We start from the raw sequence: 27,932 nt of genomic DNA on the forward strand, positions 1-27,932 counted from the left end.
GTGGCCAGCAGTAGAAACATGAAAAAGGGAAAGGTAGCAGGGCAGACTCCGGCAGTGCCCATTTCTAATACTATCGAAAGGAGGGAGAGTCTTGGCTTAGGGACACAAAGTCCCATCGGCAAGGCTGACCCCATGGTGGACATGGGGTCACCGTGCTCTCTTAGATCCCTGCTGTCCCTCCTCCCACAAGTATTTGAGTGCTCACTCTATAAGGTGCTATGCTAGAGATTACGGATCCTGATGAATAAGGCAGACATAGCCCCTGCTCTCACAGAACTGAAAAAGAGTAAACAACAGAGTATATAAAATCTTCTAATTAAAATTGTAGTAAATGCTTAAATGAAAATGTCGGGTATAATGAGAATGTATAAATGGGCATAAGGGGTAGGGAAACCTATGCTGGGAGTTGTAGAGGCTTCCTTAAGGAGAGAATATTTGAGCTGAGCTCAGAGGATGAGGAGAATTAAGCTGCCAAAGGCTACCCCAGGCAGTATGCACAAAGGTCTTCAGCAGCCCTTGGTGGAGAAGATCTCTCAGATGGTCCTCCTGCCTTCCCTTGTTCAGGTCCCATGCTTCTTGTCAACCTTTCTAACTATCATTTGGTTGCTCATGTAAATATACTTGAAGATAGAGAATGTACATAATACCTGGCATTCTAGTTTGTACAATTTTCTTTGAGCTTGGTTAATGAAAGTTCGCTTCCAAGAGGCAAACCCTCTTTGGGCATGTTAGCAACATCAGTCAGGTTTTCAAACTTAGAAGGCCATACTTCAGAGCTTGCCCTCAGTTCTGGGACAGTAGGGGCTATGTCTCCTTGTTCATCAGGATCCTTAATCTCTATCATAGTACCTTATACACAGTGAGCACTCAAAATACCTGTGGAAGGAGGGACAGTGGGGGGACTAAGAGAACTTGGCGACTGCATGCCCACCATGGGATCAGCCTTTTCAGTGGGACCTTGTGTCCCTAAACCAAGATTCTCTCTCCCTTTCATAGTGTTAGAAATGAACACTGCCAAAGTCTGCCCTGCTGGCTCTCCTACTTTTGGGTTTCTATTGCTGGCCAGCCATGCCCCTCTAACTCTCACTTTGGACATGCAATACCTTTGGTCAGGTTATAGTCTAATCACACTGGCCTAAATTTCTGTCTGCCGAAGCAGCTTTGTATACCTCTGGTCTAATGTCTAACCTAGTTTATTATGGTCATTTATAATTTCAATCTCAGAGGGCAGTGTTACTTCCAAGTTCTTGGGAGTTACCACCCTGTCAACCCCTGTAATTGCCAAACTGTTGCCTGGGTTGTTAAGGACGGGGATACTTCAGGATGCACAGCAGTCACAGGATAAATAAGAGAAGCACGTGTGCAAGTGGCTAAAGCCTGTTCCTACTTCATAAAAACAGAAGCTAGAAATGAAATTCTTATATTTGGCTACTTTCTCAAAATATGATATTAATTTTGAAAATTAAAAACAGAACAAGCACTGGCCTGGAAGTCTGGGTGAGATGTAGACTGTTTTGATCCTGGCTCTGACACTAACTTGGCTGTCAGCAAGTCCTATTTCAGTGTTAACTTCTGTTAAATGAAGGGGTTGGACTAGATGACTACTACAGCCCCTTCCAATATTGACATTAAATTATTCAATAATCATTTTTCACCTAAGAACTCTTTCTTCCCCAACTTAATAAGCACCCCAAAGATCAGTCCAGCTGCTGGCAGCAACCACCGCATGCTTGGGAATTTGGGTGAAGCATCTCTAAATAAATCACAGAATTACCTAAGGATTTTCATGATTACAAATGAAATCATTCAGGAGATGAGCAGAGATTCTTGGGACCTGATACAAGCTAACATAGCAGATTCTCTGACACACAGATCTTCCGAACCCTTGGTAATCACTGGATGGAGAACAGAGATGCCTGGGAAATCTGGTTACAACCCAGCTCTAAGATACCCTCTTCCTTTGATTTCCCCTAGAAGCAGGGTGCTTGTGGAAATTATTTTTTTCATATGTAAAATAGTCAATCATTATGATAAAATGTTTCCATAAGCTTATACCTTTTACAACCTTTGCAAAAAGCAGTTCCCTTATCTATTCTTCATATTTGAGAGTTCAGCTCCTTTCACCTCACCCCTCAGGCTCACAGATCTGTGCACATATCCTGTCACTGGTACTAAATTACTCTCTCAAATAGGCGTTCAGCTACAGTACAAACAAACTCATTATAATTTGTTTATAACAAAAAATAATCTCAGTTTTAATTGGCTGGTATGTTAAATTCAAAGCCATGTTTATGTTTAAACAGTTTACAAATCCTGCTTACAGAATGGGCATGTCTGATGAGGCCCTTCCCCATCTGATGGAAAATCACCAAAAAGAATAAAGACAGACCACTAAGGGGCTTACACTCCAGAGACACATATTTGTTTCTGCTGCAGCAGCTGTGAACAGACTGAGCGCAACTACATGAATTCCAAAAGATTTCTTCTGTTAGCTCAAATAGGATGTTTACAAAAAATAATACCCTGAGATTTATCTGAAAATGGACTTGGGGATGTTTTACTACCTACCTTGAGTAGTGAGACTCCACCCCCAGGGCCTCCCGGACACTGGCAATGTGCTGCTCCAGGGCTGAGCCGGTTGCTGTTGGAAGGGTTACACTGCTGCTGGCCTGGAAGTCACTTGAGTTTTCCACTGTGTTCTCACCCAGGTAGTGTTCATGAAACTTCACAATTCCTGAAGCAAAACAGGCACAGCCAACATTATACACAATTAGGGTCAGAGAAAGGAGAAGTTGAAGGCAGGGGACAGGAATGCCAATGGTATGTGACTTCTTTGACAAGCATGCCATCCTGCAAACCCTGTCAAAAAATCCTGAAATCCAAGGTCTCAAGAGGGCTTTCTCTATTTTGGTCAGTATCCTTTTCACAGCTTTTACCATTAGGTGTGGGGCTTGAAACCAGGGAATTCAAGATACAGCCTCAGAAGCTCCTGGAATTATGACTACTTCATATGTGTTTCAAAACAGATGCTTCTTAGAAGCACCAACTAGGGAAAGTCTCCTTTCAGGAATAGTGCATGAGTATGCCAGGATATATTCCTTATAGAAATTGAAATCCCAAAGACAAATATAATTGACCAAGTGGAAATTGTGTTCCAACAGAGCTTTCATTTCACAAAAGCAAATTATAATAAATATGTAGTATAAAGGCCAGATAAAAACATTTTAAACCATTTTTAAATAAGACTAACTGGTCAATGGTCATTAATGAATTAAAGGAGCAAAAAATGATGGGTGCATGAAATTGAGGCAGTCCACAGTGGTTTTCTGGCGATAAATAGGATATATTCTCAAATGGTAATGAGGTGTGTCAGCTCTGGAAAACGCCGGTCCTCTCTGATTGGATTAGCGCCCCCAGTGAAAGCTTCAGAGCCTCATTAAGAGCAAAAAGGAACGGAAAAAGAAACAATAGAAGCCTCATTATACATGGCTCATTATTACAGGAATTCCGATATACCACCTGTCAAATCATGTCCCCAAGATGTAACAACCACAGAGAGAAGGAGTTTGATACCTCCCAGTCATCAACTGTGTCCTCACGAGTATCAGTACCACTCTGGGAGCTGGGATCCACAAAGATTCCACTGTAGCCAACATTTATTAACCAAGTCACTGTAAAAATCACAATTTAAAACCTTTAGCATTAAAAAGGTCAGCGGTAAGAACATTCTTTGTGGAAAGCCCATAAAGAACATGGAACTAAAGGGAAAAAATTATTAAAAACAATGCCGAGGCATAGAATGTATACGCACAAATGCTCAGAGCCTAAAAGCATCTGGGAGCTGTCATCCAGCCATCATTTTTTTTTTTTTTAAATCAAAGGCATAGAAACATAATCAAGAAAATCTTGTCAATTCTCGCTGGCAGTTAAAGTTTTTGAAACTGGCTTACAGATATTCAAGAAGCTCATTCTTTAAGATTACCAATTATAAGATCCACTTCCCCAGTCAATAAACTCTAATTGGATCTGGTGTGTCTCCAACTTGGTAAAGCCATCAGCATTTTATTATGCAAAAAATATGGCCCTAACAGCTAATTAGTGTTTCTGTATTTAGTGAAACTGTTACAGCCTGAACATTTAATGCTGATTTAATCAAAGGAGATTTTTACTTCTGAAATAGATTTACAGCAGAACTGGTTAAAAATGGGTTCTGTTAAACTCAGAAATTTCAAGCATAAGACTTATTTATAACCTGTGATAGAGCTGCCATTATCATTTTAGTCTCTTTAACTTTGCCATGACAAAGGGTCACAATTATTAAACCATGTCTAGAAAGAATTCGTTAGGACTTGCAGTCATCACTTTATTAGCTAATGAACAACAGCTGCCTACACACAGGGCTGCTAGTGAAATTAATTCTTCTGCTTTTAGTCTTCCTTGATAAATGCTTCCACATTCAACAGTGAGGAGCAGCAATTTCTTGGGGAAATGAGAAAGCTGGGCTGTCTTATTATCTGAATGCCCCACCACGGCATATCCACTGCGGCTGAGGTTTTGCTAAAATCTGACATCAGTTCCTTAGTATGATCTATGATAATGCACCTATTCCACCTCTATTCATTAGACTTTCACAGGTCTAGTCTTCTAATTGCCCTGTTCCCACAGAAAGAGATCTTACCTGCCCCAGGAGCCAGCAGCCAGCTATACAGATAGCCTGCAGCCAGGGAATAGTAAAGCACTAGTCCCCTCTGGCCATTTACCATCTCTAAGATCTGATCAATAGTGACTGGGGAGTAGGGGTCGGAGTCTTGTTGTCCTGTTTGTCGTTCCACCAGAAGATCAGCAAATGCCCTTGTCCGTCCCCTTTCTGCCACAGCCAGGGCTTCATCATGATGGCCTAGGAGACAAAGAGATATGCCGAGGAGTCCATAGTGAGTGTGCTTACTTAGAGAGGCCTATCAGGGACGGCCATCAAATCCTGGGCAGAAACCTCACTGCCTCTACTCTCCAATATGTGACAGAATCTCAGTCACACTGCTTCAGATTCAATTCCCTGCCTCAGATGGTGGGTGCAGTGTCCTGCATGACTGATTCCACACTACCCTAAGCCATCAGACCTTCGCCTGTCTTGCAGCCAGCGCCACAAAAGAGCTGATCCAATTCAGTGCACTTGTCCTTAGCCCTGCTCCATCTCTGCTCCACCTCCTGAGTTGCTCCCTAACCTGGCTTTTTTTTTTCTAACCTCCTGCCTGGCTTCTGACACCAGGTTTATTGGTGTCACTTGGCTCTCTACGTGTCTTTTTTTTTTTTTGAGACAGGGTCTCACTCTGTCTCCCAGGCTGGAATATAGTGGCATGATCTCAGTTCACTGCAATCTCCGCCCCCTGGGTTCAAGCGATTCTCCTGCCTCAACTTCCCAAGTAGCTGGGATTACAGGCACGGGCCACCATTCCTGGCTAATTTTCATATTTTTAGTAGAGACGGGGTTTCGCCATGTTGGCCAGGCTGGTCTCAAACTCCTGGCCTCAAGTGATCCACCCGCCTCAGCCTCACAAGCTGTCTATGCGTCTTCTGACTCTCTCTCCTCCCTCCATGCAGCCCCTCTATGCATAACATTGTCCAGCCTTATGCATTTCTCTCCAAATTATACCTCCATCCCTTTAAGCATGCCAGTCCCTCTCCTGGGCGTGCCCTTTTCCCTTTCACTGGCCTTGTCTCAAGAAGAGGGATGCTAACAGTTGTCCTGCCTATCGCAAAGGGCTATTTTAAAGATTAAATGAAGCACTACATGTAAAGATGGCTGGCAGGCCTACTTACATCACTACATGTATAACAGGTAGTAGTAATGTTGTTGGAGCTGATGTCTCATTCCATTCTGGGCTCCAACACACTTTTTTCCTTATCCCCATGGGAAAAGAGTTTAACCTCTAAGGTCTCTAGTTCTTTAAAATTGCTTCTCTATCTCAAGCTTTTCCCATCTTTTAATCGAATTTTGAATCCCACTTTCCTTAAGGAACTGGTCTATAATCTAGTTTAAAAGCTAATGTACCAATCTGAAACCACAAAAAATGTAAAGGAATTGTTTATAAGTGCTGAAGGAACACAATGCAGCGGATTTACTTTTGTCATAAATGTAAATATGGAAGAGTTACTATAACCAGAGTCCAAAGAAAGCAGACAGAAGCAGACCAGATGCTGCAGCTGTGACAGCACTTCAAGGATGCCTTGCTTCCTGCAGTTTGGGTATCAGAAGCAAGTGGAGATTTGTATGTGTGTATGTAAATGTCTCCTTTTACTCTATTAAGTTATTAACTGGAACAGCAGGAACAATTTCTGTGCACACGGGAAAATCGGCCCCTAGGTGCTAGACAGACTTAACACTGTGATTATAATAGATAATAAACTGTAATCCCAGGCAATGAACACATTTAATAGATAAATTTTTCAAGAGGAAATTTGAGTCCTTCCTATACATACAGCAAAAGACAGGTTATCGAAAAGGCCTCAACATCCAAATTCAAAGCCTTTGTTAGTTCCAATAAATATCTCCTGGGAAGAGGCAGATGACGGAGAGCTGGAAGGGACTGGCTGACTAGTTAAGGCCCGGGTGAAAGAAGATGCATGCTGCCCCACTGTGATGGGGCACATAGGCTTGGGAGAATCATCACTGACTATGCCACAGCCTAGGAGGCAGACCCAGGTGGCAGAAACATTTATTAGACAGCAACCTTGAAAGATGTGTGGATGAGGAAATAGACAAGAGGCCAGGTGTCTTCTCAGGTACTTCCTCTTAGTCAGATGCTTGAACCACACGCTAGTGGTGAGAGGGAACCTAGGGAGGGAACCTGGTTCAAGCATCCCTGTCTCAAGGACACTTTCTCTGGCTCCCGGACCCACCAGACAAGAGACTTTGTTTCAGGCTGGGTGTCATGGTTCTCACCTGTGATCCCAGCCCTTTGGGAGGCCAAGGCAGGAGCATTGCCTGAGCCCAGGAGTTCGAGACCAGGCTGGGCAACATAGTGAGACCTCATCTCTATTTAAACTTTTTTTTTTTTTTAAGAGACTTTATTTCCACAGCATCTGAGTTTATCCTAGTGCCAATCAGCACTGTACTGGACTCACTGACTTATGTCTCTCCACAAGCTAAGCTTCTTGGGGTCAGGAACCAGGACTTCTTGACTGTAACCCCCAGGGCAGGCACTCAGCACATGGTAGGAGCTCTACTAATCTTTGTTGAATAAATGAATGAATGTTCATTGACTGGTTGTAGTTGTGGCTTCACAGTCTGTTGTCACAACAAATCATATTTCTTCACCGCTGTCACTAAACAACTTGGACACATGGACGCGCACCCGTGCGCACTAGTGCACACGTAAGCAAGGAGTAACCCCAGCTGTTCTCACCTAGGCTGACGAGCACCCGCTGCAAGGCCTGGTAGGATGATGTCTGCAGGTCAAAGAGGGAGAGTTTGTAGTCCGTGCTCAGCTGTGCCTCATGTCGGATTGTTTCAAACAAGGCTGATGCCCTATAAAGCTGCAAGGAGGGAGGAAGAACATCATCCATTCCCCAGAAACCAATGTCCAGCTGTTTACAGACTAGAGACAACTTTTGCTCATATCTTTGTGCACAACCTAAATATTTTTTACAGATTTGAAAGGAAGAGTCTGATGTCCAGGTGTAAGGAAAAATGGATGTGCTGCGGTCAAGAATAGGCCGAGGCAGACATCCAGTCCAGCATGACTCAGTGAGTTTGGAGCACAGGCTCACAACTCCACTCATCATGTAACGACACCATGTGAGGCGCATTAGGTGATCACCCATGTGAGCTCGTCCTTAGCTCAGAGCCACTATTGTCTTTAAAAGGTATAATTACCCTGCTAACGCCGTATATATGGCTTGTGCCCACAGCTCGTGCCTGGTCTCACTAGCGCCCAGAGTGAGTAAAGCCATGGTGAAACTGTCTACGCTTCCTCGAGTGTTTTTCCAGCTACCTGCCACTCGCCCACTGACTTCCCTCGGACCTCAGTTAGAACCTGACACCAGGTAGGTCCTTGTGGACCTAAAAAGGCATCAGATCATGCCCAGTAAATTACAGTTTATATAATCGATTTTTGACAGACAAAGGGATCTAAAAGACAGGAATTAGAGACTTACGGTCTTAAAGATATTAAAACAGATATTAATCCACCAAGTGCTGATTTTTATTAAAACAAAAAGCCTCTCCTCTTGTCATCAGGCAACCACAATTCACCACCCTCGTGCCTCATGGTGAGTAAGGATGGGAGTGAGAACAGGTATGGTGAAGGCATCCCGGAAATGGACGAGCCTGAGGGGAAGAGAGCGCCACACTCTCTGAAGGGCGATAGCTCTTTGCAGATGGTTCAGTGTCCCAGGCTCAGATCATCACTGGGCAAGCTCCTCAAGGAGCCATGCCCACTCACATAGACATTCTGAGGACCAGACAATTGCCATTCCTAACGGAGACATTGTCCTGATGCTCTAACAGGCTCCTCCATCAGTGAGGCCATCAGACTTTTCTGACTCTGATATTTTCCTTTTTTTTCCCCCTCATGCCACACTGTCTAAGATGACTCTGATATTTACATGCTGGAAACTCAGTATCAAATTTTAAATTTATCCAAACTTCAGAATTCTAAGACTACTTGCTTCTCGGCCTTTTGGCTAAGATCAAGTACAGAATTCTAAGACTAAGAGACATAGACCCGGAGAGCGCTAAGAGAATGTGTTCCTAACTCTGCCACTAATTGGCTGTGTGACTTTTGGCAAGATTCAGAGACTCAATTTCTTCCTCTCTATAAAGAGGATAGTTTCTACCTCACAGGGTTATTTTAAGGATCAAATTCACTGAGCTATAATAAGTACTTTGAAAATTGCAAATCACAATATCAACACAGGTTTTACTTTTTATAACCAGGAAATTAGAGAATTAATCCTTTACATTGTCTTTAATCATTTTAAAAGTACAGTAAAACACCCTAACATTCTAGAACGCTATGGTGCAAATTCAGTCACATCTCTTCAACTCTTGTGAGCACCTCTGGATAGGAGTCTGGATGTCCTTATCCTTGCTCCCCTCTGTCTAGCACAATGTCCTCTGCAGTCACCACTCACATGCTCGCTATCTGGATGAGTGCGTGATCTTAGATGCAGCCATCTCACTACTACTCCAACCTAACAGAGGAGGCCTATAACTCGAGGGATCTTTCTACTCTCCAGGGCCAGCATGACAAGGGACTTTCCTTCAACTACTTGCATATATGCAGAAATATGGCCTTATTGTAAAAGAGGGAGAGAGAGAAGTTATATCTATTAATATATCTAGAAACATGAAATTTAATTATGAATTTTTGTTTTACTTGTCATGAGATGAATATAATTTCATATCAATGTTTAATGGGGAGCAATAGCAGTTAATATAAAAATTCTTAAGAAATTGAGAAATCTATCACATGAGTGAGCAAAAATCTTTACTAATTGTTCAAATACTTCTGGGCTAGTACAGGCGGGAAATCATACACATTAGCCCAAGGGTAGAAGTCAGTGCCTCTTGTAAATGCCATCACTACTAGGACAGTAATCCTAAAGTCTCCCATGCTTCTGGAAACAAAAAATCCACTTCAGTCAGGGGTTCTGCTTACCTGGTGTTGGGCCTCCTCCAAGTTTCCACTAGCCCAAAGGGAGAGGCCAAGGCCATGGCGAATTTTTGCCTCATCTTCTCTTCGGCCCAGTTGCTCAGCTAACCTTAAACCTGAAACCAGATAGAGAAATTTAAGGAAACATAGAAGATGGATAATTCCACTATCCTAAGGAGTCCTGAAGGGTCATTTTACTTTTGTGTTTTTGTTTGTTTTGAGACAGGGTCTCACTCTGTTCCCCAGACTGGAGTGCAGTGGCAGCTCACTGCAGCCTGCACCTCCCCAGGCTCAGGTGATCCACCTCAGTCAGCCTCCGGAATACCTGGGACTACGGGCACGGGCCACCACAACCCGGCTGGCTTTTGTATTTTTTGGTACGGACAGGGTTTCACCATGTTGCCCAGGCTGGTCTCCAGCTCCTGATCCACCCACCTCAAGTGATCCACCCACCCCGGTCTCCTAAAGCACTGGGATAGCACTGCTCCCACCCAATTTTGCTTCAGGTGTCTATAAAAGAATGTTAACAAGAGCCACTCAGGAGGCTGAGGCAGGAGGACTGCTTAAGCCCAGGAGTAAGAATCTAGCCTGGGCAACTTAGTGAGACCCATCTCTGTTAAAAAAAAAAAAAAAAAAAAAAAAAAAAAAGAATACTAACAACACAGCTAGATAAAATGAGGACAAGAGCTGAATCAGCCAAGGTAGAATAAGCATTGTCTTCAAATTCTGTGTTGGTAGCAACATTTCCAGGATGTTCCAGGATGCCTCGGCAAGAGCCCAGGTGATGGCTATCAGCAGGAGACAGGTTTGCTGGGCAGGCAGAAACACTAAAACAAGTGAAACTTAACCTGGTCACCCTCCTAAATTTGAAATCCATAGCTTTGCAAAGGAAAACTCCTGGCTGATAAACTTATCTAACCTGATTCTTTGGCTGGCAAAGCTCTTCCTGATAGTTAAATACAGAAGGCAAAAGAATATTCTTCCTTTCTCACGTGCACAGCATCCAATGAGTGTTAATAGAAGATACATACGATGTTCTCCTGAAAGCAGAATATGAACACAGCCTGACCCTGCCTTCTGTTACTGATGTTACTGACACATTTCATGTCTAATCTATTTTCCTTTTCAGTCTAAGATTTTGATGTGCCTCAGCGGGGTTGCAAAACAAGTGCTATTATGAGGCAAAAGCCTTAAATGAAACCATCCTCATTCTAACAGCCTTCAGGCAGGCACCTGCAGTTTGGGTCACTTACCCACAGCAAGCTTCTGGGTTTCAGGACACCAGCAACCTTGAGGGCTTTGTGAGAGTCAAATCTGAAGGCAACCATTTATTGTATTGGTCACTAGGCAGTTCTCAGCATCACTTTGCCCTCATTATCCTGCTCACTGTACATAGAAGCTAGCTTGTGCAGAGACAGCATGAAGGCTCCCACCGTACAACTGCACACACAAAGGAAGGACTTCCTTCTTCTAATCTAATTCAGGGTAGATGGAAGCCTGCCTCTGATCATGCTGGGCCTGTGCAATTTCAGGCTTTTGAAAAGGAACTGAGTCTGTTGAGACGGTAAGAAAAGTGACACTCAGGTTCAATGTCATAAATATACATTTCAAAATGCTGATAACTCAGAAAACTTAGAAACATTTTAAGTCATGTTATTGGATAGCAAAAATATTTGTAAATAATTCACATTTTTAAACATCTCACAGAATAGAAAAACATATGAAAGAAGATGGTTCTTGGGAGAAAACCAGAAGGATACCGATTGTTTAAACCTTCAATAAGCTAAACACATTAATTCTTCAATACAGATGTCCCTTCTAGGTCAAGATCTATGAGTCAGAAGTAAAATTCACTGAGACAACTCCTGCTTAGAAGCCATGTTCTATGAAAACAGGGACTTTGCTTTGTTCCTGCTATATCCTCAGCATGTAGGACTCTAGCTGAGGTTCAACAATGAAGAGTTAAAAGCCCCCTGGATAGACATGGTATCTGTCCTGCCCCAGCTTCTCTCTGCTTCTGCCTCTTAGGAACCTGACTCACCCATCCAGCTCTCCTAGAACCTATAGTTTGTCAGGGACTGGTTCCAGGAAAGTCACCAAATTGATCCACGCTCCCTTTCTTCATTTGCAAGAAGAGGAAGGGCTGGGTGAGACCAGTGGTTTTATCCAGAGGTGTCTCCCTCCACAGCACCTGGAGAGCTTGTTCAAAAGGCTCAGACCAGGCCCCACCTGTGAGAGTCTATTGCACTGAAGCAGGGTGATGCTGATCTACAAGGCCCCACAGCCTCATCCCCTCAGAAAGCCAGGGGAGAGGGAGCAGTAGGGTGGTTTCCAGATAAACTAGTCCCTCCTTGCCAGAGGCTGCAGACCTAACTCAGAGCATTCGGAAAGCACCATCCAGGTGTCCTGCCCTCATGAGAAGAGGCATTTGGTTTGGCCCACGAGGAAAGCCATCAGCTGCAGGCTCTCTAGTGGACACATCCACAAGACAGACACTGTAGAGATGCTACAAATTAGAGTTTTTAGATCTCTGCAAGACTTAAAAAATTACAAGAAACAATAAAAATGAACTTGAGAGTTTTCCACAAATATAGAATTGTGTTGCAATGTCTCAGGCAAACCAGCTGTTTCATGGAAATAGTATTTCAGGAAGTACAAAAGAACACAGCTGAAAAGTTGTCATATGACTGAATTTAATAGTTTTTACAAATTCAAATGAAAATTGCTCCTTGTCTGTTGGAATTTTACCACAGTCAAGTTTCAGGAAATTAGAAGCCAACATTCTCATTTAATGCATAGAGGCAGAGCCCCATGTGGATAGAAGCGGAGGTAGATAAGGTCTGGGAAGTGGCTTCCAGACTCTCTGTAACCTCTCAGACTGCAGGCCAGTGCAGTCCCTGGTCTGTTGCAAAGGAGACCAGCGAATCATCAGCTCTTTACCCACTCTCCTCTTTGCTTGCTGCTTCTCTCTCTCCTGGCTTCCCAGTGGGGGCTCAGGAGTAAAAGCGGGTAGGATGCCCAACCCTACTCTGCAACTGTAAAGTTAGAAACAACTTCAGAGAGGATCTTGTATGGTTTCTGGGTTGGAAAACTCGGGCTGGGCCCTACTCCTTGACTAACTGACTACATGATTAGGATTGAATCACTGTACTTCTCTGAGCCTCAGGTGATTCAACTGCAAAAATGGGAATAAAAAGATATACCTCACAAGACTATTGTGAGAATTGAATCAGCTTAAATAAACTTTATGTGCAAAGCCCCCTGGAAATGAGAGTTTTTGCTTGAAATCAGTAACCATTCCTTTTACCAGTGAGCTATCTGCCCTTTTTCCCTTCTAGGGTGAGAGGATCCAATATGCCTGTGTGAGAAGGACTTTCAAGAGCAGAAAGCCTCATCTCAATGTAAAGAGGTGGAGGGCAAATACATTGCTATGGGACTTCTGCTTTCGGAGGAAGGAAGCATCCAAGGTCCAACTGTGCAGCCTTCAGTTTCTAGGCCAGCCTGGAACAAGACCCTACTGTGGCACCAACCCAAGCACTGTAGGTGACAAATGCTGAGAAAGAAGCCTGGTTTACTGCTTGAGTACCCCTCAGACTGATACTTCTGGATTAGACCTCAGCTGCCATGTCAGAACTGACTTCTATAAAGTTTTAATATAGTTAGTTTAGATATTCTCTAGAGGGACAACAGAGCCTGGAGCAGATGGGCATTTTCTTCTGATTCGAACCCTTATAATTTTTTAGGATTACATCTTACTTGATTCATCTGTGCGAGAACGTGCTGCTCATTCCTCAGAGGGTTCTGAAAAGCAAGGAGGGTATCAGCTCCTTGGGCAGCTGGCGAGCAGTAGATGCTGTCACTGAGAGAGTAAGACAATCTGGGTCCGAGAGAGCAGGGCAAGGTGCTATGGACAATGAAACACCTTAGTACTATCAACGGACACCTGGTGGGGACACCGTGATTCTGGAGTTGAACTGACAATGTGGCCTCTGAGACCCTTACTCCACACAGAGGTGGCCATTCAAACTGTGCATACTTCCCTCTGAGTCTTGAGTTCTGACTCTGAACTTGATTTCAAGTAGGCCAAGAGAACACAATGGGCCTTTTCACCTACCTTCCTGTAAGTACATGACTGCTTGGGAATAGTTCTGCAAGGCATGATGGGTCCTTCCAAGGCTACTATATGACACCGTCTTGGCCGCCAAGTCATTCATCTGTGCAGCAATGCTCAAGTGCTGTTCTTGATAGACCACAGCCCTCTCGAAGGTGCCCAGGGATTCATAAGTCAGGCCCAGGTTCCCATAGGCTCGGCCCTGGCACGTGGGGTTGTTGGTTTCCTCTGCTATCTGTAGATCAAGCTGGTGGTACTGCAGGGCTGTGTCATACTCCCCCATCTGCTGGTAAACGCCCCCCAGGCCACAGGCTGCGTCACTCTCCAGGGCTCGGTCTTTCATATCTCTAGCAATGTTCAGCTGGCGTTCAAGGCAGGAAATGGCTTGTTCGTAATTCCCTAATTGGCTGTGCAGACTTCCCAGCTCTCCATAGGCCTGGGCTTTATTGAAGGCCTCTCCAAGTTCATGAGCAACCACGAGCCTCTTTTCAAAGCACACAAGGGCTTGCTGCAAGCTCCCCATTGCCCTGTGGGGATGTAGACAGAAAAGCAATGATATTATTTCATGCAGGTGCAGACATGCTAAAGCCCCTGAGAAAATGAAAAGCATTTGTCACTGTCACTTACTATAGAAGCTCTTAACTCCTCTTCTAGCTAAAATCTATCATGTGCCCTTAGAGTGAGATGCAGAGGAATTTCATAATCTGGAAAGCAATTCAAAAGTCATCCCTTAGTGACCTTCCCAAGAGCTTGAGATTCAATGGGATATACACCCCAGAGGAAACATAAAATATATTAATAGGCACAATGATAGCAAGTGAACTGTTTGGTTCTTCAGGCCTCCCAATTTCCACTACCGCTTAGACTATGTTTTTGAAATCACTTCACAGTGGCTATAAATCTTTCACCCTGAGCTTCTCAGAGCACTCTGTGGGTGAAGATTTAGTTTGACCCTTGCCCTTCCTCCACTCCAGGAGCCCTAATCCCCTGCCTCTCTGGTGGGGCCATATATCCTGCAGACACAGGCACCTTCTTGGGTTCCCCACATTTAGGAGAAAGTATCACCTTGACCAACAGTGTGTCTTTTTCTGCTGCTAAGAGAAGACACGATAAGCGTGGAAAGAGTATGACCAAACCAGTTGTGTGGGGCACATGAATTAGTTCCCCTGAGCCTCCAATTCTGGTGATAATAAATCCCACATCCCACAGCAGATGATAATAGATATAGAGTAATACAAAACTGTTAAAACTATTAAGATATCTGTGCAAGGGACCTTGCACAGATGATGCATGCAACATAGTACATTTATGCATTCTCCTATTATCAGGTGGCTTTTCTGAGGAGCAACACAATGGGGCCTAAGTAATTGGTTAGGTGCAGATGTTGTATTAATAAACACATTCATATAATGTGGGAGGTATTCAGAAAAGATCAGCGAAAGTGACTCGTTCACCTTCCCCATCCCTATTATCCTTCTCATTCTAATGTAGTCAAAAGGCACTGCATTTGGAGTCACAGAGCCCTGGGTTTAACTCTCAGCTGTCCCTTTTAAGCTGCATAATCTTAGGCATTAACTCAATTTCTCTGGGCTTTAGTTTCTTCATCCATAACATAAGGGTAACAACATCAACTACTTGATTCAAACAGTTGTTGGAGGAATCAGATGAGATATGTACGAAAATGTTTGTAGTTAACAAACTGCCATGCAGACACGAAGTTGCCTTTACTGCCACAAATGCTCTTTTTGCAGAACTATAAACCACAATTGTCCTTGGTCATTTTTACCTGTGTCCATTTCCCAGGCCCCGGTAAGCCTTGGCTTGGTCTTGCATGCGATTCAGACTCTGCGCGACAGATAAATATTGTTCATAGTATTTGATAGCTTCCTCATAGTCACCCAGGGCTTCGTAGCAATCCCCCAGGTTGCCATAGGCCCGGCCCCTGTCGAGCACAGACTCATTTCCACTTAGCTGCTGCAGCATGGCCAATTGCTGCTCAAAGTAGCCAATGGCTTCTTCCATCACATTCATGTTCATCTTTGTGATGCCCATGTTGCCATAGACCTGGGCTTCCAGACTCGGATCCTTCAGCTTTTGCCCTAGATCCAGTTGCTCTTCATAACACTTGAATGCCATTGTGTATTTCCCAAGGGCCATGTAGACAGCAGCCAGGTGCCCATGAGCTCTGCACTCCCCTGGCAAGTCACTCAGCTCCTGATATACCTCCAGTTCCTGTGTGTGATAACCCAGGGCCTTGTCATACTTCTGGATCATTCGGTATGCAGTGCCCAGGGCTGCATATGCACTGGCTTCTAATCTTCTGTCCTTTACCTGGTGAGCTAAGCCCAGTTGCTGCTCATAGAATTTTATTGCACCATTTATATCTTTTTTACAGATGAATATATCGCCCAGGTTTCCTAGGGCTCGAAATTTAGCCTGGGAATTATTCAGAGACTGGGCTAGGGACAGTAGGTACTTCTGACACTCTTCAGCTTTACTGAAATTCAGCAGAGCCTTGAATGCTAGGCCCAAGTTGCAGTAGGCTTTTGCTTGGCTCAACTTGTCGTGAAGGTCTTTAGCCAGTGCCAGATCCTGTTCGTAGTACTTCACTGCCTCCTGATAGTTTCCAAGGCAGTAATGGGCATAGCCAAGATTGTGGCAGACCTTCCCTTCTCCTTCCATGTCTTGAAGGTCGGGAGCAAGCCGGAGGTACTGTTCATAATAGGGGGCAGCCTGGACATACTCTCCCCGAGAGCAGTGGAAATTGCCCAGGTTGCTGAGGGCCCGGGCCTCGCTCTGGATGTCTCGTAGCTCCCGGGCGATGTTCAAGTGGTTCTGATAGTGTTGCAGGGCCCGGTCATGGGCACCCAGGGCCTGGTAGGCCACGGCAAGGTTCCCATGTGTGGAGGCCTGTGAGGCGCGGTCATTCACTTCCATGGAGATCTGCAGCTCCTGCCGATGGTATTTGACCGCCTGGTCGTACATGCCCAGGGCATTGTAGGCATTGCCCATATTCCCATAGGCACGGCCCTGGGCAGCATAATCACTCAGCTCCTGGGCAATGCACAGGTGGGTCTTGTGGAGTTTCAGTGCAGTGTCATAATCACCTTTCATCTGGTGTATGATTCCTGAGAAAGAGAATAAAAGAACAGACTAAGACTGAAATAACTGATTTGCAATGTAGAAAGAAATGTAATTTGCATCTCAATTTATAGTAAAATGCAATCCAGATGAATTAAAGAATTTAAAATAACAGAAGGTAGAATTAAATATTTATCAGCTCTCCACAGAGAGGATAGCTTAAGTTTCAAAGCAACAGAAAAAAACATTTACTGATTTTATTACAAAAATAAGAATGTTTGTACTACAAATACATATCTAAAATTAAAAGGCAAAACAATACTGGAAAATATATTAAACATAAATGAAAAAGTTCAATAGCCATTGCGTATAAAGAGTTTATTTGGTTTGATTTTTTAAAAATGAAGATCCCAATTTACTAAAATAGGCGAAGACCTGTAAATGTTAGCAGACAACTCACATCCACAGAAATACAAAGAGTAACCACAAGGGAAAATGCTAATTTCCTTTAATAATCAATGAAATGCAAAATAAAGCAACCCTGAAGTACCATGTTGCTTTGGCTAAATTAGCAAACAAAAAAATTAACCACAACTCCTACACTGATGAGATTGTCCTAAAATTGGTAAACACACCAACTGCTGGGGACATAAACTGGAACAACCTTTTTGCATAAGCAGCCTGGCAAGAACCACAAACGGCGCTCCTACTCTGACCCAGCAATCTTACTCGAGGGAAAGTATCCTAAGAAAATAATCTGACAAACACAAAAGATTGCATAACAATACACGTAACAACCTTCAATGTGGCACCATAAACTACTGGAAAATCAGAAACATCTTAAATGTGAAACACTGGGGGATTGTATAAGTACATTTTGGTATATCAACTCAATAGAGGATTATGCAGTCATTAAAAAGATAATTATGAAGTCTATGCTGAAAAATGGGAAACAATGTTCTTGTAATCATATTAACTGGAAAAATCAGGAAAAAATGCTGCATGCTCCCGTGACAATAACTAGGAAAGTAAGTATGTCCATACACACGGACAAGCTCTTGACGGGGTTATACAAAAACAAAAATAGTTGCCTTGTTAGGTAGTGGAATTTCAGTAATTTTTGTTCTAAAATCTCTTGTAATTCTGCTATACTGCTTTTACAATCAACAATAACAGTGCTCCAAACAAACCTCATGAACCATATTATAGCTGCTAAGCTAAACTATTGTTTTAACAAGCAGTTTAAAAAAGTGAGTTATATCATACATATCATAACTATAAAGTGGTTTCAAATGAGGGATAGCATAATGGTAACTTGGGAGCTGGCTTTAAGGAGAGCTTCGTCCATCCCAGTTGGGGCTAGAGTGAGGGCCACCACTAGAAAAGGTGGAGAGAAGCTAGTATGCAAACAGGTTTCTCCTTGCCTTTGGTTTTGAACATGCTTTTCCATGCATCAGTCTGTGAGCTTTCCAGTGGTGACTAAAACCTACAGAAGCCCCAAAAGTCAAAAATGCCAAGATGTGTTCTGTTAAAACATCTGAACTAAAAATAGATGCTCTGAGAAAGAAAGCTGTGAAAACCTAGCCTCCCCAATTTGTGTATCTCTCTGACACTCTTTATTCATTCATTCACTTATCCAGCAGACATTAGCTGGGCATTTATTGTATCAGAACTTGTGGTGGGCAGCAGGGGTAGAAAGAAGAATGAGGACAGAAGTCTCTGCCCCCAGAGAGCACACTGAGTGAAAAGGCAGACAGTATGCATGATCAAGGCTGAAGTCAGGGCAGGGCAGGAGCTGGGGCTGCAGTGCAGGGTGAGTCTGTGGGGACCACTCTGCTGGTCCTGACTCCTCCCTTGCATGCTGTGGAGATCTGCCCTGCCACAAGAGTCACATCTACTCCTGGGACCCAGCCATCTCTTTGACTTAACTGGACTTAGGGTAAATCATTTAGGTTTTTGAGTTTTATGTAGTTCATCTATAGTTCATATATTTTCTCATCTATAAAATGAGAAAAATAATAAACATAACACCAACCTTAGTAGGTGATAGTGAGGATCAAATGAAATAATGTATGTGCAAGAGCACTGTAAAACTGCAGAGTGAAATTGCAATATTAGTTATTGAAATTATTCCCTTCCAGGAAAGGAAATTCTTAAGGTGCTGGAAATTAAATAAGCCATGGTAATTCTTCTGTATATTTTTTATGAGTAAAATATTTCATAATTTAAAAATAAGTACATAAATCATGGTACACTTATACAATGGAATAAACATGGTGACATTAAAAATGGTGAGGGGCTGGGTGTGGTGGCTCACACCTATAACCCGGCACTTTGGAAGGCTGAGGCAAGAGGATCGCTTGAGCTTAGGAGTTCAAGAGAAGCTTGGGTAACATAACAAGACCTTGTCTCTACCAAAAATTAAAAAATTAGCTGGGCATGGTGGTGTGAGCCTGTAGTCCCAGCTACTTGGGAGGCTGAGGTAGGAGGATCATTTGAGCTCAGAAGTTCGAGGCTGCAGTAGGCCATGATCACACCACTGCTCTCCAGCCTGGGTGACAGAGTGAGACCCTGCCTTTAAAAAAAAAAAAAAAAAGTTAAGTTTATTGACATAGGAAGAAATTTACAATATATTAAGGGGATATATGATCCCAAAACAGTACATTTTAATGCATACTTTAGTAGCATTGTGTATAGACATACATGTTTATATTTAAACATATAGCATAAAATGTATTTAAAGGTTAAGAGCAGTAATATTTGGGTGGTAGAATTGTAGTTTTTTTTGTCTTTTTACTTACATGTATTTTAATTTTTTTTCTATGACGAACATATAAACCTTGGTTTAAAAACAGTATTTTTGGACTCCAATCCAGTAAGAAAGTAATATTCCTGGGGACTGGGTCTGGTCACTTCCCTGGGTTAGAGATGTCACCAGGATCCTTGCTGGAAGGATCAGGGTTTTTCCGAATCTGTCTCAAGGTGAGAAAATCTAAGCTTCCCGAGAGGAAATAATACCTTAGCATCACCTACAACCCTCTTAATGCTAAAAAATTATTAGTGACAGAAACGTTTCAGTTCTAAAGACCTGAATTTAACATGTGGTCCTAAACCACTTTTATCTAAAGAGAAAAATTTCACATTTCAAATTTCCAGGTTTCCTCAGAGGAAATTTTTTTTTTTACATTTCTCCCTCTCTCCTCATTTACTCCCTCTCTCCTCAGTTTCTGTATTTTTTAAATTAGGGTCAAAATATCTGCCCAGCCATGAGTCAATAATTACGAACAGAGCCGGAGCTGGGGAGGGCAGTAGGAGTGCCCAAATCTCCCTTGGAGCACTTTCTCCCACAATCATGCCTTTGCAGTGATTTTTTTTTCCCTCACAGCTTTTGGATTTTATTGCAATGATTTTCTTAAGCCAGTATAATCACTTTTGTTTGCTAAGATGGGGGTAAGAGGAAGCAAGTGGTGAGAGGCAATTGGAGGCAACTGTAGGAAGCTTGGCTTTCCTATATGGCCCATCACCACCAAAGACAGGTCTCCTTGGACGCTCCCCACTTCTCCTGCAGGGTGGGACTTACCTCATCCTACAGGAAACTGGCTAAGCATTAGAAAGGCACAATATAATAGAAAAGGCACAGGACTCTAAGCCAGAAGTACTGTTTACAAGCCTGGCTCCCACCTCATTCAGCTGAGTGTCTTTGAGACACTCAATACCTCTGAGCCTTTGTTATTTTTTTAAATTGAAAATATTTTGGCAATTTTTGTTTTCTCACTAATAAGGTCATATTATAATCATTTCAAAGACATAGCTTGAGAAACATAATAGTATGTATCAATATACTTTGTAAACTAAAACATGGTATCTAAACCTAGTAGGACCAGTATTTAGAGAGTGAGAAAAAGGAAAGGAATTCTGTTTCTCTGACTCTCATGACCTTAAGAGTCTGGGCTAGTTAATAGGGAGCAGTCGGGATGATAATGGCTACCCAGGGTTCAATGATTTGTGAAAGAAACTGCCTGCTGGTTATGGCAAAATGATCTGATCTCCAGCCAGCTTCCCTATGCACTCTACTGTTCTCCTGTCCTCCTTATCTTACTTTTCCAAGGGCCTGTAAAGAATCATAGGAAGACTCTCAAAGGCTTCCTCATGCAGACAAGAGTAAGAAGAGATGGATGAGGCCGAACTGGGAATTTTTCATCCTCCCTGTGTCTCTACTGTCCCAGCCACTGCCAGCCTGGGGAATTCTGAATGGAACATGACACACTCTTGGCAGCCTTTCTCTTTGTTGAGGCAACTTAAAAGCGGCCCCAGAGCTGCCAGCAGAGTGACTGCACATGCTGAGGAGATAATCTGCAGATCCTCCTTCCCTTTCGAGACCACAGCTTGATTTTCCAGGGCCGTCAGTCAGATGAAGACTTACAGAGGGCCTGTCAGCAGGGGCGTGCTAGGTGACAACGTGCTGCAGGGAGGGGAATTAAATGAAGATTAGTGGGGCAGAAGATCCTCACAAAGCCGAGTTCTCACGAGGGTGTGTGGAGAAAGGACACATGGTTATGAATTTATACATCGTCACAGCAGGTCTCCACCTATGGGTCAAGAATGGTCACTGCCATGGGAATAATAATAGCTACTTCAAAGGGCTGTTGTGAGGGCCAATGCGATCATGCTCAGCAGAGGCTGGCCTAAGTGCCTCAGACATAGTAAGTGCTCAATACATTTTGCTTTTATTATTAGCCATTACCAGCAAAGACCAAGGGAGGTGTGAGCTGCACAAGCCAAGCAGAAAAATTACTAAACATAGAATGCAGTTCTGGCTGCCTTTTCTCTTATGAATTTTGTGGAGGTAGGGGCCTCGGTGCACCGCCACAAACAATGGAAGTGGTCTTCTCATGTATTGAAAGTGTTACAGTCATGATTATTAATAGTACACAACCCAAATGGGGCTTTAAGAGATGATCTATTTTTTCCTCTACTTTCAAACAAATTGTTTTCTGCTCCATCCTACTCAAATCACCATCTATTCTCAGAGGCAACATAAGATTTGGGAACTGGAAAAGGCCCTCCCATGGGTTCACTTTCTAAATGATGTGACCTGGCGAAAGTAATGGAGATTCGTCTCCAGTGAGAGGAAGTGAGTTAGTGGCAGAACTGAGGCAAGGACTCTCAGACCCACTGCCCTCAGCAGGACCAGCCCATCTGCTTTCAGGACAAGCTGGAGACATGAAGTAACTCTTATTAGTCTTGCTAGGTGTGACATAGGACAGTGGGTATGCTTTATAAAGTTCTCTTCCGTTAGAAATATTTATAGAAGCATTTACACATGAAACAACGTGGTGTCCATGATTTGCTTTAAAAATTGTGTGTGTGTGTTTATGAAAATAGATGAAACAAGATTAGCAAAATGTGGAAAACTGGGTTATGAGTATGTGGGAGTTCATTATACCATTTTCTCCTGTGTGTTCATGAACATTTCAATAATGGAAAATTAAATAACAAAGGTATACATAAAACTTTGCACTGCATATATTCTTCTATAATCTTTTTGGATCAGGAAACTGTTCCTTGCAGCTAAGTCCTGACGTGGATGTTTAAGTCCACTTTTATGTCTATGGGACAACAGTAGAAAGAAATTGGGTTGGTCAACAGCCTCTGTAGCTGCACCAGCCTCCATATCCTTTTCCAGGCTGGGAGAAGAACATGTAGAGACTGAAAACTACACAGCACTTTGTCCTGTTGCCTTGATTTCATTTCTAATGATCTTAAAGGATAGGATGATATTTTGTCTATCAAAGAGCCAAATGGCTGAGAAATGGCTAAAATGGCCAAGAAAATCTGCTTCACAGAAAAGTGCTGTGTACTCCCAACTGTTCCTCCCAATCCTCCTCCTCATTGGGAGAAGTGGTCCCAGGTTTTCCATAGGACCCATAATTCTAACCCTAGATATCTTTAGGTTCCCTGAACCCTCTCCTTCTCAAGTTTTCACATATAAGTTCTTCTACATTGTACTTAAAATATTGCAAAGCTGAGAGTGAGGAGGAGGTGACAGACCTGGTTAGTAAACAGATGGCTAGAATCAAAGGCATGAGAGCAAAGTGCTCTGTGTTAGAAATGCAACCAATTGGATGTCTTATCTAACACACTTGCAGGTGACTATTTATTAATATGCACCTGGAGACAAATCTCCATTATTTTTGCCAGTGATGGACAGCAAAGGTATAGATTTTTTTTTTTTTTTTTTGAGACAGGGTCCCACTCTGTCACCTATGCTGGAGTGCAGTGGCATGATCATGGCTCACTGCAGCCTCAATCGCCCAGGCTCAAGAGATCCTCCTGCCTCAGCATCCCATGTAGCTGGGACTATAGCTGTGCACCACTGTGTCCAGCTAATGTTTAATTAATTAATTTTTGTAGACATGGGATCTCACTATGTTGCCCAGGCTAGTCTCAAACTCTTGGGCTCAAGTTATCTTCCTGCCTTGGCCTCCTAAAGCACTGGGATTGCAGGGGTAAGCCAACATGTCAGGCCAATACAGATATTTTTAAATGCAGGTAATTCCAAAAATATGTATCATTTGACTTCAGCTAAAAGCAACTTCCTGATAGGTAAGCTTTTCTTGAGAACCTCTCTGTGCCTGGCTCGCTGCTCCATGATCTCATTCATGCCCCAAAACAAGGTTGATACTGTGGTCTCAGAGCCCCAAAAGGTTCAAGAGCTTACTCAGGCCCACACGGCTCTAAGTGGCAGGATTGTTACTAAAACCCAGATTTTTCTGACTCAGAAGTCCATGCTCCATGCTTTTTTTATTTTTTAAGAGACAGAGTCTTACACTCCAGCCTGTGACCCGGGCTGAAGTCCAGTGGCACAATCACAGCTCATTACAGCCATGACCTCCCGGGCTCAAGTGATCCTCCCACCTCAGCCTCCCAAGTAGCTGGGACTACAGGCACACACCACCATACCCAGCTTAGTCCACACTCTTTTACCTTCTCCCTTCATCTGGAAATGTCGTCCAGTAAAAGACAGGCATGATTCTGTGCCCATTTCTTTTCCCTCACCATACACACAAATATTTGCATCATGTGCCAATTTCTTCTTTATTAACATTAGTATACTGCTGTGGCAAACCAAGCTCTTAGCAGCTGCATATGAACAGATTGATGGCCTGGCTAAATCTGTATCTAGAGAACAGAGAAGTACACATTAGATACAAGAAAATCCTAAAAGATTAAGAAATGTAGTAGGAGGATGCAGATGTAATCTGTGTGGGCATCACCTCTGGAGAACTCTTGCGCCATCGCACGTCTGTTCTGCCATCCTTTAACTTAATTACATCTGTCTCCTTTTTCTACTAAACCCACCAGGCTCAGCCTGTTCCTTGAAGGATAAGTGAAGTTACGAGCCTGTTATCTTCTTTTGCTTCAACAGCAGTTTAGGATGTCTTCAGTGACATTGAGAGTTTGGTGGCCACTTCTGTTCCAGATCCCAATTGCCCTTCCCTTCTGTTTCAACTCTGAGGAGCCTGCTATAATAAGGTTGGGAAATCTCTGTACCACCTCTCCCTCCTATAAGCTACACTCCATTGGACGCTATCTACCTTTTAAACCAACTTTGGAGGAAATAAAATGTAGTATTTTTGTAGAGACTACATTTTAGAGTCTAAATGTATTATTTATTTGCTATACATTTATTTCTCCAAATGCAGAGAAATAGGTTCTATTGCTCACCCCCACCCCTCAAGACTCCCCCTGATGCTAACTGGGAGCAGGGTCAGTTCCTCTTCAGTCCCCTCCCACCACCATCCCAAAGGCTTGGGCTGAATGAGCAGTGACGAGCCCACTGGAACCCACAAATATTCACTGCCTTCATGCATAGCCATCCTTCCCACTTCCCTTGGATACTTAAAGACTAAGACTGCAGGTGAATAGCTCAGAAATTCCCTGGGCCTGTGCCACTGTAAATCCTGAGGCAGTGGGGAAGATTAATTGTGCCATGAAGTAAGGGAAGTAATAATTAAACCTATTTAAAAAGAGGTGGCTGGAGAGGGGTGCTGGTGATAGATGATGAGGTAGGAAGTGCTAGGCACAGTCATCTCTAAAGGCTATGGCCGGGCCACTGGGAGAGACTTGGTGGGAAGCCCAGAGCAGAGTGAAAAATATGCTGGGCCTGCCTGGCCAAGCCCCGCCATTAGTCACTGTTTGGAAAAGTCAGAGTGTGCCTGGTTTTCATTCTGGATCACAATAAGAGGTGGGAGGCAGCCTCACAAGTTAGCAATGCAGGGAATGTTACAAGGAGTTAGCTTCAGTATGAAAAAAACATTTGTTTAGAGGCATGGGATAGAATCACTGAAATGCTGAGACAACTGTTCCTTCTCCTCCCTTGAGCTAAGACCCTGAAAGCTGAACCAGTACCATCTCCTTGGAGCACCTTCTGAGGGTCCCTCTAGCCTACAAAGTGTAGTCAAGTGGAATTTGTGCGCTTTCCTGATTCAGGCCCAATCCAGTCTTCCTATGCCAGCCACAGAGCAGTCCCATACTCCCTTCTGCTCAATCCTACCCTGCCTCTTCTGCCTGTGAGTATCCTATTCACTTGGCTTGGATTACCTTTCTTGCTCATCTGCAGTAGACTTTACCAATGCTCCCTGCTATCTGGATCTCTTCCACGTTCAGGTATGTATTTCCCACTCGTGAGAAGTTAGGCATGGCAAGTGACTTGCTTTATCCAGTGAAAAGTAATGAGAAATGATTGTGTTACTTCCAGACAGAAGCGTTGAAGAGCTGAAGTGCAGTATTCCATGTTCTCTCTTCCTCTGTCTCATCAACTTGCAGAAGCTATGTATTGTATTCCAGATGGTACAGCTATAGGAAGACGGAGCTAAGGCAGGCTTAGATTAGTGTGTTGCCCCTAAGGATTGCATGGACCTGTGGTAGGCTTTGTATGAATATAATACTTTGTTGTATTAAGCCACTAAGATTTATGGGCTGTTACTCTATTAGCACCTAGCACATCCTGATAGATGTGCCCTCCAATATAAACCCTCCCAGCCCTTGTCACAGCCTACAATTACAAATCATATTCTAACAAAGTCTGTGTGAGACAGACGTCTATTAACAGAAGTTTCCCAAGGAGCTTTTGAGCCATCCATGCCTCTGGATGCTCTAAATTCTAGCCCTGGATCTAGGGAGACCACAAAAACCTGTAAACTTGAACCAAATTACCTTGGACCTACACAGAATTGTGGGTTATCATGGTGCCCTCGAGTTAGTTAATTTGCTCTTGATTAAAGATTGCTGTTAGCAAAAGCACACTGAAGTCTACTACAATCTTTGCTGTACAATTGTATTGATACCATACATTTTGTCACCAGAACCCCCCTATTTAAATTCTCTCTTGAGAAATTTCTTTTAGAATTCAGCTACCCTTTCCCTGAGGAATGCTAGGCTCCCATCTTTTGGATAATAACAATTGTGAAAAAAATAGTTAGAAAGAATGAATAAAATCAGTATAGTAGTTGATAGCACAACAGGGTGACTGTAGCCAATAATAATTTAATTGTACATTTAAAAATAACTAAAAAGAGTATAATTGGATTATTTGTCACACAAAGGATAAATACTTGAGGGGACAAGTACCCCATTTACCCCGATGGTGATTATTACGCATTATATGCTTGTATCAAAATATCTCATATAATCTATAATTATATACAACTACTATGTATCCATAAAAATACAAAATTAAATTAAAAAAAGAATTATGGGCCAGGAGCGGTGGCTCACACCTGTAATCCCAACACTTTGGGAGGCCAAGGCGGGTGGATCACCTGAAGTCAGGAGTTCGAGACCAACCTGGCCAACATGGTGAAACCCCGTCTCTACTAAAAATACAAAAATCAGCTGGGCATGGTGGCATGCACCTGTAATCCCAGCTACTCAGGAGGCTGAGGTGGGAGAATCACTTGAACCCAGGAGGCGGAGGTTGCAGCAAGCCGAGATCACGCCACTGCACTCCAGCCTGGGTGACAGAGCAAGACTGCATCTCAAAAGAAAAAAAAAAAAGAATTATGTATATAGTCAAGGACAGACACTCAGTCAATGACAGACTGTAGATACAACAGTGGTCCCATAAGATTATAATACCATATTTTTAGCATACCTTCTCTATGTTTAGATACACAAATATTTATCATTGTGTTAAACATTTCAGTACAGTACCCTCCTATACAACTTTGTAGCCTAGGAGCAGTCAGCTATATACCACGTAGCCTAAGTGTGTAGTAGGCTATCCTATCCAGGTTTGTGTAAGTGCACTCTGATGTTCACGCAATGAAGAAATTGCCGAATGATGCATCTCAGAATGTATCCCTATTGTTAAACGACACATGACTATATTTCTTTCTTTGCTTCAGCCACCAAGAAGCTCTGGCTTAAATATGAAACTCTACTATAACAACTATATTAGCCCTTATATGCTGCATGTTTGGGCTCTTTGATCTTGATTTTCTATTTCTATTATATCATCATTTGATATTAGAAGTTAAATAAATCCTTTATGGAATGAAACAAGTTATAAACAATCAAGCAATCAAAAAATTTTATATCTGTTGCATGCTCAGCTGACTTTGCCTTGGTAATTGGTGTGTCCCCTGAGCCTGCCATTTCTCAACTTTGCTGCCTAAGCTCTGCAATTTGTTTCATGGGTCTTATTCTACAAGATTTAATAATCCAGAATTGCCAGTTATGTGGCACAGTGCTTTATGGTTGAAAGGCACTGTGAGCAGAATCAGAAGATCCCTATTCCCGGCTCTACTACTTCATGTCATGTGCTCTTAAGAAAGTTACTATTAATACTTCTTCTGGCCTCAGGTTTTCATCTATCTCAGAAGGCTATTATGAAGATCAAATGAAACAGTTTCTAGGGTATTGGTATTATTCCAAACAGCTTCAATTACCATAGTCCTCAATATTACAAATAACAAAATAAAAAACTGCCACTCCCTCTAGCATTATTTAGCTAGAGTACAACTCACTGTCTTAGATGCCATCATATTTCCTAAGTAAGTATCAAAGGGAACTTGACACCAGAT

General features: G+C 42.9%; 1 protein-coding gene across 11 annotated transcripts in view, besides 1 other annotated feature; it reads right to left on the minus strand.

Moving 5' to 3' along the window:
- Positions 1-27,932, minus strand: part of TTC28 (tetratricopeptide repeat domain 28) — a 701,827-nt gene that overhangs the window by 113,498 nt on the left and 560,397 nt on the right. For all 11 annotated transcript variants that reach the window (NM_001393403.1, NM_001145418.2, XM_047441214.1 and 8 more), the window contains 6 exons: positions 15,551-16,892; positions 13,768-14,291; positions 9,660-9,769; positions 7,404-7,533; positions 4,679-4,897; positions 2,569-2,734 (listed from right to left, as the gene is read on the minus strand). In NM_001393403.1, the coding sequence (NP_001380332.1) occupies positions 2,569-2,734; positions 4,679-4,897; positions 7,404-7,533; positions 9,660-9,769; positions 13,768-14,291; positions 15,551-16,892 (2,491 nt within the window). The remainder of the gene's footprint in view (positions 1-2,568; positions 2,735-4,678; positions 4,898-7,403; positions 7,534-9,659; positions 9,770-13,767; positions 14,292-15,550; positions 16,893-27,932) is intronic.
- Positions 21,090-21,632: an enhancer, noted in NCBI's record as "OCT4-NANOG-H3K27ac hESC enhancer chr22:28508589-28509131 (GRCh37/hg19 assembly coordinates)". NCBI's record gives its function as "activates a minimal SCP1, AML or CMV promoter by ChIP-STARR-seq in naive H9 embryonic stem cells {active_cell/tissue: H9 hESC(naive)}" and the evidence as "EXISTENCE:reporter gene assay evidence [ECO:0000049][PMID:30033119]".

Source organism: Homo sapiens, chromosome 22, assembly GCF_000001405.40.
Source record: "Homo sapiens chromosome 22, GRCh38.p14 Primary Assembly".
Classification (NCBI taxonomy): Eukaryota; Metazoa; Chordata; class Mammalia; order Primates; family Hominidae; genus Homo; species Homo sapiens.